The sequence below is a fragment of the Homo sapiens genome, chromosome 14, assembly GCF_000001405.40.
Source record: "Homo sapiens chromosome 14, GRCh38.p14 Primary Assembly".
NCBI classification, from domain to species: Eukaryota; Metazoa; Chordata; class Mammalia; order Primates; family Hominidae; genus Homo; species Homo sapiens.
Window position 1 is genome coordinate 45,705,500 of NC_000014.9, and position 11,119 is coordinate 45,716,618.

General features: G+C 36.0%; 1 long non-coding RNA gene across 2 annotated transcripts; it reads right to left on the minus strand.

Annotated features, from left to right (window-relative positions):
• Window positions 1-758: 758 nt before the first annotated feature.
• LINC02303 (long intergenic non-protein coding RNA 2303) lies at window positions 759-10,103 on the minus strand. 2 transcript variants are annotated; one of them, NR_146546.1, is made up of 3 exons: window positions 9,851-10,103; window positions 6,400-6,454; window positions 759-1,003 (listed from the first exon to the last, which is right to left on the minus strand). It is a non-coding gene; the product is annotated as a long intergenic non-protein coding RNA 2303 (long non-coding RNA). The 2 variants fall into 2 exon arrangements; NR_146547.1 differs by lacking the exon at window positions 6,400-6,454.
• Window positions 10,104-11,119: the final 1,016 nt, after the last annotated feature.

The following is an 11,119-nucleotide window of genomic DNA, read 5'->3' on the forward strand; positions in this document are numbered from 1 at the left end:
TCCTGAAGATATTGGTAATGTTCTTGGTGGAAATAACATAGTGTTGGGAAAGGAATTAGTGACAAGCAACTTAGAATTAAGGGGAAGATATAGTAAAACTCTAAAAATTATTTTTTCTTTCTAGTATAGAAATGCACAAATAAATTTGAGGTAATTATTAGAATCAGAGTAATACAGAAAAAATGCTGAATGTAATTAATTTTGATTATTTCAATAGATTATTGAAAGCAGAAAACACAGATATAGGCAATAGTAGTGAAAGAACATAGACTCTGGGACAAGTAGAGCATTTGAGGTAGCTCTCTACATGGTGGAAAAGACCTTAAGGGCAGGCTGGGACATCATTTCAGATTTTTATTTTCAATTCCCAGCATGTTCTTTTGCTAACCTTTTTCTTTTTAATTACATTCTCATTTCATCCAAGCCAACAGCTTCAGAATTACCGTGCTTTTTGTTTCATGCAGTCGGTTTGCAAATAGAGCATGTCTGGGTTCCTCTGTGGCAAAGAGAATTAAAAAAAAAAGTTAACTTTGATTCTGTGACAAAATGTCTGTAAACACAACAAAACTTAGTCATGGTCCCACACAGAGTGGCTTTATTAAGCTGTCTGGTCCTGACTTCTCCCAAAGTAAAGCTTTAAAACTCCTTAAACGTATTTACTAGCCTTAAGCAATCAATGGTAAATGACCTTAATGTTTACTTCTAGTGAAGAACACTTCACATCTTAAGGATACAAAAGTAGTCCAAGCATTCAATGGTTAAATAGAGCAAACAATTTTTTATTTATCACCTCGGGCCTGAAAAACTGTTGCATACAGCAGTCATAAGCAGTGTCCACTTTTAATACGGTATTTGCAACTCAAATGTTTTCTTCTTCAATTTTAATCTGCAATTGCAAATTCCATAGTCCCTTTTGTTTGCATATCCTCAGGGTTTTGTTCTGCCAAATCGTTGGCTCACCACTTTCCATGGTAATTTATAGAACCCGGTTCACTTTGTGTCACTACAGGTTATAAATGAAAATGAAAACAATTTGCTGTTAAGAAATATTTCTGAAACAAAATGCAAATAACATATTGAAACAAACTACAGCTATTTTAAAAGAACAGTGCAGTATAATTATAGGGATTGTATGATAGTAAATTTTCTTTTTAAAAACATAGTCTTTCTGTCTCTCTCTCTGAGGGTATTCTTCTGTATTTAAATTAAAATACTTTCTCTTAGGAGCCTTTTTTCTATTTCTGCTTTTCCCAGTCATTTGGCTTCACTGGACTGTGGTGGGAGTGGGGTTCTTAGAGATATTCCTGAGGGTTTGCAAATTCACCTGTACACCAAGAATTGCTGCTAAATAATCTATACATTCATGGACCGTTATTTTAAAATATAAGTTGTGATTTATAATATTTGAAATTTATTTAAAACCAGGCCAGGTACAGTGGCTCACACCTGTAATCCCAGTACTTTTGGAGGCCAAGGCAGATGGATCACCTGAGATCAGGAGTTTGAGACCAGCCTGGCCAACATGTCTCCACTAAAAATACAAAAATTAGGCGGGCGTGGTGGCGGTTGCCTGTAATCCCAGGTACTTGGGAGGCTGAGGCAGAATTGCTTGAACCTGGGAGGAGGAGGTTTCAGTGAGCTGAGATTACGCCTCTGCACTCCAGCCTGGGCAACAGAACGAGATTCCATCTCAATAAATAAATAAATAAAAATTTATTTAAAACTAAAATGAAATCATGACATTTTCCTGTTGTCCATTTTCTTAACAGTTTGTCAAATATCACCTGTATCAAATGAATATTCTACATGTAAATCTAACAAGGAGTTTCTTATATTTGTAGCGAAACACTTCTCTATGTAATTTGTTGATTAGTAGTTAGAATTGAATTAGTCATTAAAAGAATCACCATGAATTGATAGTGTGATTCTTTTAGAGAAGAGTCTCTTCCTCATGAGCTCATGAACTTCTGGAAATTACTTGCTAAATTTTATGTGTACAAACATATATGTTTATTTTTTTTCTGAAGAGAAACTCGATAGCGGTGTTCATCCAGTTTTTAAAGGTGTCTGTCACCATAATAAGATGGGGAATTACTGTATGAAGAAACTATATGAGGCTGAAAATAGTGAGTAGACTGAATTTTCTTGGAATGATTTATATTTTTAAAAAATGTATAAAAATTCTCAAGTCTGCAAGTAAGAAAAGCTTTTGTATGTTACTTTGTAGTAGAGTGTGGCATATTCCAACAATAAATTGAATACACTCTCGTAATTGCCTATAAATAAGGAAAAACTCAAACTCTTCATTCTTTCAGGGAACTATTACCAATACTCACCTGTGTTTTTATAATTAAGTCACTTTTATTTTGTCCTCTGTATTTGTAAGGAGCTATCATTTACTGGAAGGAATATTCAGACCAGAAATTGAGAGGTTGGTTTTAATTTCTCTTCTGTTACCTGATCTTTTAGCGTTGGGATAAAAAATTGTGACTTATATTCTAAAAGATGGTAAATTAATTAAAATAATTTTTTAGTTGTCTGATTTTAAACAGTCATGATATCCAGGCAACTGACTGATAAAAATGTTTCTTTTTAAGCTAGTCACACTGGTATCAAGTAGTTACAAATTTAATTTCCCTTTCCTTCAATATTTGTACCTATGGAACAAATTTAACTATATATTCCCATTTGTTTACTGGAAATGCTAAGAAAAATAGATATCTGTAAACACATAATACTCAGAAAATTGAAATATGCTTTGTATTTCCTAGAAAATTCGGACTTAGTCATCAGAAAACACATAGCACACAGACCACACATTTAATGCTTTTTCCACTTTCTTCCCCATACTTCATTCTAGTTTAAGACCTTGAATTCCACATCTATACCTTTGATCCCAGATAACCTGGTAATGTAATTTGGGCAAAGGTGGGTTGTTCTTTAGTAGCCATATAGTGGTGTCCATAATTAAATATGTACAGACACAACATTTCTTTTTCAAGATTGTGCTATGGCCAGCCAACGAATAAGAGACCTTAGGCTTTCAAATATCACAAAATTCCTCAACAATATTCTGTGTTTGAGAACTCATCTATTTCTTACTGACACCAGGTAATGTTATTTCAGCAATGACTTTTGACTAGTAAGCAAGGATATTTTATATTTTTAAATAATTTATTAAGATCAAATTTACCTACATCAAAATGCGTAAATCTTAAATGTAAAATTAAATAAGTCTTGACAAATGAACACACACAGGTAAACAGCATCTCCATCCAAATATAGAACATTTCCATCTCTAGCTAAGGTTTTCTGTACACACCACTTCCACAGGCAACCACTGTTCTGATTTTTATCCCTATAGACTAGTTTGGATTATACATGAACTTTCTGTAAATAAAATATAGTATGTACTGTTTTGTATCTGGCTTCTTTCATATGAACTATTTTTAAAAACCTGTCCTATTGTTTTCTCTACAGTTTGTCTCTCTTTTTGTTCCTATTTTGGTACCACAATATATATATATATGCCTGTCCTGCTAATGGACACTTGGGCTGTTTTGGCTACTAAAGATAAAGCCACTACAATTTTTTTTGTTTGTTTTGTTTTTTTACAGAGTCTCACTCCTGTCACCTAGGCAGGAGTGCAGTTGTGTGATCATGGCTCATTGCAGCCTTGACCTCCTGGGCTCAAGTGATCCTTCCACCTCAATTTTTATTTTTTTTTGTAGAGACAAGGTCTTACTGTCTTGCTCAGGCTGGTCTTGAATTCCTGGACTCAAGTGATCCTTCCTCCTTGGCCTCCCAAAGTGCTGGGATTACAGGCAAGAGCCACCATGCCTGGCATAAAAACATTTTATACAAGTCTTTGTGTCAACATTTGTTTTCATATTTCTTGAGAAAAAATACCCAGGAGCAAATATGCTCACTTATAGGGTAGGTGTGATGGTTAATAAAGGTGTCAACTTTATTGGATTGAAGGATGCTTAGATAGCTGATAAAGTATTGTTTCTGGGTGTGTCTGTGAAGGTGTTGCCAGAGGAGATTGACAGTTGAGTCAGTGGACTGAGAAAGGAAGACCTACCCTCAATGTGGGTGGGCACCATCCAATCTGCTGCCAGCACAGCCAGAACACAGTAGGCGGAAGAAGGTGGGATAGGCTGGCTTGATGAGCCTTCTGACTTTCACCTTTCTCCCCTGCTGGATGCATCCATCCATCTCTCCCTCCTGCCTTCAGACATCAGACTCCAGCTTCTTTGGCCTTTGGACTCTTAGACTTACACTAGTGGTTTGCTGGGGGCTTTCCGGCCTTTGGCCACAGACTGAAGGCTGCATCGTCAGCTTCCCTACCTTTGAAGATTTTGGACTTTGACTGAGTCACTATTGGCTTCTTTCTTCCTCAGCTTGCAGACGGCCTATCATGGGACTTCACCTTGTGATCAAGTAAGCCAATTCTCCCTAATAGACTCCCTTTCATATATATATATATCCTTTTAGTTCTGTCCCTCTGGAGAACCCTAATACAGTACGCATATGTTTAACTTTATTAGAAATTGCCAAGCAGTTTTCCAAAATATTGGTACCATTTTATAATTCCACCAGCAATGTTACAGGAGTTTCAGTGTCTCCATATCCTTACCAACATTTGGTGTTTTCAGCTTTTTAAAATTTAGCTATCTATACTAGTGGGTGGGAAACAATATTATCATTGTAGCTTTAATTTGCATTTTCCTGATGATTAAAGATGCTGAACACTTTTAAATATGTGTTTTATGTATTTTTTATTATAGTATGTTCCCAATTTTAAAAATTAGACTTTTATTAACTCGTATGATTTTTTGTGTTTTCTGGATGTGTGTTATATGTGCGTGTGTATGTTTGTGGCTTGAATTTTCCTTTTCTTAACACTTTTTTTAGAAGCATGGACATTTTTAATTTTGATGAGGTCTAATTTATTATTTTTTTATTTTATGATTAGTGATATTTATGTACTCTCTAAGAATCATTACCTCCCCTAAGATTGTGAACATATCCTTCCATGATTTCTTATAGATTTACAGTTTTAGCTTTTACCATTAGGTCTATTATCTGTCTTGAATTAATTTCTATTATAAATTGAAGTAATTTGCATTCTGGTCACTTGTCCCACCACCATTTGTTGAAAATATTCTGTTTTCCCCACTGACTCTAAATGTGGTGATCTATTTCTGGAACTCTATTCTGTTTCACTGATCTATTTTTCCATCCTTATGCCAATGCCATGCTATTTTGATTACTGTAATATTATAACAAGTTTTGAAACCAGGTTGTATTAGTGCTCTAACCTTGTTTTTATTTTAAAAATCATATTTGGCTACCTAAAGTTCTTTGGGGTTTCTTAAATATTTTAGATTTATCTTGTAAATTTGTATAAGTAAACTTACTGGGGTTTTGGTCAGAATGGTATTGAATCTATACAGAATTTGGGGAGAATTGACATTGTTTCAATATCAATTCTACTAATTCCTAAACATGGTATGTTTGTTTATATAGGTCTTCATTAATATCTGTTAAAATATTTGTAATTTTTTATTGTAAATTATTTTTAAATTTTACTTTCAATTAGTCATTCTAGTATACACAAGCACAGCTTTTTTTCTACATTGACTTCATATTCTACAACCTTGCTAAATTTACTTATATTTAGTGTTTTTTGGTTGTTTGAGATTTCATAGATAACATCTATATGATAAATTTATATACTTTTAAATTTCTGTGAATAAAGACTTAATACTTCCATTCCAATCTTTATCCATTTTATGCTTTTTTGGTCTTTATCACACTGACTGGATTCCTGAAGTTGAGGGACAAAGGATAATATCCAGTATTTTGCCAATAAATATAGTGTAAGTTACAGGTTTTCGCAGATGCCCTTTATCTGAATGAGGAGCTTCTCTTCCATTCTTAATTTGTGAATTTTTATCATGAATGGTCCCTGTATTTTGTTAGAGCCTTCCTCTTCTTTATTCTGTCAATGCAATAAAATGTATTAATTTATTTTCTAATGTAAATTCTACTTGGTTATGACATATTCTTTTAAAAATATATTTCTGCATTTGATGGATATTTTTAAATTTTGCATCATATATTCATGAGGGGTATTGGTGGGGTAGGAAATCTGATCAAGAGTTTTGCTACAAAGGGAAATTTTAAAATGGGGCAATAACTCGGAAAGTATAAGGTGTAGTAAGATTTTTTTTCTTTTAGCGTGGGAGAAATTAGAAGTGATCTTAAATAGATGTTTTTCTTTTTTTATATTTATTATTTGCTCATGTTCACTTTTCCCCAAGTCTTTAAGATAGATTACCAAAAAAAAAAAAAAAAAAGTAAAATAGAAAGGGAGTCAATTAGTAACTTTACCTTTTTATAAGGCCTTAAAACTTATCCCTTCCTAGGAAATAGAATGGGCATCATCCTGTATTTTGGAAGAGAAACAGGTGTAGTTACTGTATGGCTGTCCAGGTAGACAGAAGAACTCAAAATGTGATGTGGATGCCGGTTTTATAACCCTGTGACATACACACCACAGAGCCCAACCCCCGGTTTGTGAATTATTTTTTTGTTACTAACATTAGAAGTATATAACTTTGATATTTATTTTGCCTGGCTGCTCCCAAAATCTGATTTTAAGTTACTTTTCTTATTACAGGTAAAATAGCATGATATGCTGGTCAAATTGCTTTTTTATTTATGAAATGAGTTCTGGAATGTCATCTGTCTTTACAAGTAGAAACACACTGGCATTTTCCTACTCTTATTTTCACAATTTATTCTCAAGGTTATGCTTATCAATTCTACTTTTACATTTTATAATCTTCATTGGCCAAGAATAACATAATTCTTTTTTAAAATTAAGTGTAGAAAGGTTTTGCTTCAGAGTAAATGAGCCATTTTGGCTGGTCAGCTGTTATTAACATTTGTAATCCATATTTGCTCTTTAATTTTCCTGATAGCTGAAAGGAGTTAATGAAACAATTTCCTTATGAATCAGATACCTTATCGAAAAGTAAAACTATTTTTACCCTCAATTTTCTTGGACTTTTGTTAAAAAAAGAAGATTCACTCAATCTCTCTACCATATATAAATTACCACAAGTAAAGAACCATATTATTCTACTTTCTTAGATTATGAACACCTTAAAGGAAGGCTCTTTTTTATCCTCACCACCTAGAATAATGTTTGATATGTTGAGAGGCACTCAATAAACATTTAAAGGATCAATTTAAATGCCTTAAAATTTCTAAATATGCCAGTCCTTTTCTAGAAAACTCATTTTCCAAGGTGCTTTTGCTTATATAGTTGGTACTATAATTTAGATTTGGTAGATCTACTCTTATAATAAAACCTATATAGGGCTTAGACCCTATTTTTATTTTATCTTCAAATTAAATTTGAAATTTGAAGAACTATTTTAAGAGATTTCTAATTTATAATTTCTTTAAAGGATTATAAAATATTTTGAAGAATTTTAAAATGGGCAATTTAATATGCTCTAACTTCTCTTAAAATATTACTTCTGCTTATTTTAATTTTTTCTCTTGTATTTTATATTCTGTTCCAAATATGCTCTCCTCTTAATTTTGACATTCCTTTTTTTTCCTATGGTAGTAGCTCTTGAGAGCGTCCAGATCTTTGTGGCATTTCTAATTGTGACTTCTCAGGTCTTTTGAAATCTGAGATAGTTGATATTGCCTAAGTCTATTTCATGCCTACACTCCCTTTTACTCATATATCCACGTTCCTTTTCATGTATTTAGAGTTAATTTCTTTTGAATGTTCTTCCTTTCCCTAAGGACTGATAAACTTCTACACTTTGGCTATTTTCTGGAGGCATTAAAAACACTGCTTCCTCCGTTTTATTTTCTAGGATTTACTTATTCATTCACGTGTGGCAGACTGGCATGTTTACTACTTGAGACCGTCGTTACAGCAGTTACTACTGTTACTGCTTGAGACCGTCATTTACGAGACTGAACGAAGGGACGAACATAGAAATGAAAACTTAAGACAAAAGAAACTGTTTTAAAGGACCCAGGGGAAGAAGAGAGCTCCCTGATTCTAGTGATCAAAGGCAGCCCCCTTAAGCTTCCACAGCCCTTCCTATTTATTGGGTAGAAAGAGCAGGGAGGAGGAAGTAACGATTGGTCAGCTGCTCAATTGATCAGAGGTTCATATTATTGCTAACAAGCTTCAGATGTGCCTAATCACAAGAAACACTGTGCTTAGGGCGTGACTGCCCTCAGCATTCCTTCTGGGTGGCAGATGCAGTTTGTCAGTTTGCCAACATCCTGCTTTTATGAGAAACAGTTTGCAGGCCAGGCATGGTGGCTCATGCCTGTAATCCCAGCACTTTGGGAGGCCAAGGCGGGCGGATCACAAAGTCAGGAGATCGAGACCATCCTGACTAAGACGGTGAAACCCTGTCTCTACTAAAAATACAAAAAAATTAGCCGGGCGTGGTGGCAGGCGCCTGTAGTCCCAGCTACTGGGGAGGTTGAGGCAGGAGAATGGCGTGAACCCGAAAGGCGGAGCTTGCAGTGAGCCGAGATCGCGCCACTGCACTCCAGCCTGGGTGACAGAGTGAGACTCCGTCTCAAAAAAAAAAAAAAAACAGTTTGCTGTTTGCTCATATAGCCTCCAGTGGTATACTGACTTGATCATGACCCTCATTCTTTCAGCCTCCAATTCATCTCTCCCTTTTTGTTATTGAATTACTTGAGAAAGGCAATTGCAAAATGTGCAACCTTCAATTGCCGGTTGGTGGTTTGTTCTGTCTTCGTATTCAGCTCATACTGGGGGAACCAGGCCCACGGTTGGGATCCATGTGTCCCTCCAATCTCCCATTCCATGGTAGTACACACCTTGGGGGCACCCACACTTTTTGTTCATTTCCTGCAAAAACAAGCATACCCTGGTCCCCAAGTTAGTAAATCTACCAAAACAGAAGCAAAGGTGGCTCTAAGCCGGGAGGCATGCCATTGCAGAAGCATTTGTTCTACAAGCTACAGCTCAGCCTCTCCCTCTTTGGTTAATTGCCACGGGGTAAAACTTTCCATTGATAATGAGAAGCAGGCTCTTTCTGATTAACAGAAGGCACAGAGAAAACAAATCGAAGCCTCTCCCTCTCGTGCAATAACATAGTAAAAAAACAATCCTTAAGCCTTCAATTTGTACTGTACAGGTGGGTCTATTAGATGCTATGGGTTGTGATAGATAAATCTCTCTCCTAGTTGTACTCCCAAATTCCCGACCTCCTCGCTTCTTCTTACATAGAGAAGAGGGCAATTTACAGGGAATAAGCAACAGTTGAGCCAAATCCACAAACTCATTTCTCCTTATGTGGAGAAGGGTGCAATTTACAGGGAATAAGCAACAGTTCTGCAAGATATTCTCCTGGTTTAAAACCTAAAATCTTATGACATTACCGCCACCTGAATTTCTCCTTCACAATCCGAATCAACAACTCCTGGGACTACAGTAATACCGTGTAAGTTAAGTTGACTTTTACCTAAAATTACTCCCATAGATCCAATTTTTCTACACTTATAACATTTAGCATTTTTGCAACCACTAAAGAAGATGATACAAGCCAATTTTCATCCTCCCTCTCCTGTTCATCACCCTCCATAGGTGCTGTAGGTGGGGCAAAAAATTCTCTCAAACCCTGAAATAACAGAAGATGGCACGTACCAAACTCCAAACAAAAAAGAGAAAAGAAATAACCAAATTCTTCCCCATGTTACCCTGATCAAAAACTTCCCGTTCTTTGTACCTCTAGGGTACTGACCAGTACCTTTTTAGAGCACTGACCTTATGTTGCTGCCAGCAGACTTGTAACAGGGTTTCTTGTTCATCTGGTTGGTTGTAGTTCTTTTCTTTTCCAGCAGATCTTCCTCGTTCAAGTCCCTGTAGGACCCTATCTGTCCCTATCTGTCTCTGCCTGTCCCTGCAAGTTTCTGCTAGTCTTTGCTAGTCTCTGCTAGTCCTTGCTGGTCTTTGCTAATCTCGGCTAGTCTTTGCTAGTCTTTATCTATCCCTATCTGTCCCTATGGTCCCTGTTACTTCCTGCAAGTCCCTGTCATTCCTTACCTATCTCTATTTGTCTCTATTTATCTCTATTTATCCCTACTTATCTCTATTTGTCCCTGCAGACCTCTTCAGTTCCCTTCAGGTCTCTTCAGGTCTCCGTTTGTTCTTGATAGTCCCTGTTAGTCCCTGTTCAGGTGCCACTTGTGGCAGAGTGCCCTGGTTACTACTTGAGACCGTCATTACAGCAATTACTACTGTTACTGCTTGAGACCGTCATTTAAGAGACTGAATGAAGGGACAAACGTAGAAATGAAAACTTAAGACAAAAGAAACTATTTTAAAGGAAGGATCCAGGGGAAGAAGAAGAGAGCTCCCTGCTTCTAATGAGCAAAGGCAGCCCATTGAGCTTCCACAGCCCTTTGTATTTATTGGGTAGAAAGAGCAGGGAGGAGGAGGTAATGATTGGTCAGCCGCTCAATTAATCACAGGGTCATATTATTGCTAACAAGCTTCAGTTGTGCCTAATCACAAAAACACTGCACTTGGGGCATGACTGCCCTCAGCATTCCTTCTGGGTGGCAGATGCAGTTTGTCATTTTGCCAACATCCTGCTTTGAACATCCTGCTTTCATGAGAAACAGTTTGCTGTTTGCTCCTGTAGCCTCCAGTGGTATACTGAGTTGATCATAACTCTCATTCTTTTGGCCACCAACATTCACTCTATTCTTTAAAGAAGACTACATTAAAATTCTTAGTTCTTTAATATCATTGCAAGAATTTTTCATAGAGAAAAAGTGATTTAAAAATGCACTGAGAAGATGAAATTGTCATGAACTGGAATTTTGCTACCTATATATCCTCAATTCTTTTATGGAATCACTTTTTTATATATCAGAAACATAAGCTCATCCAACAGAGCAAATAATGTTTCCTGTTTGACTTGGAATTCATTGGTATATTAATCATAGCTACCCTATGAAAGAAATGTGCAGGGTTGAAATATGAAGGCACATCCACTGCCGGGAAAAAAAGTCATCGAAACCATTATTT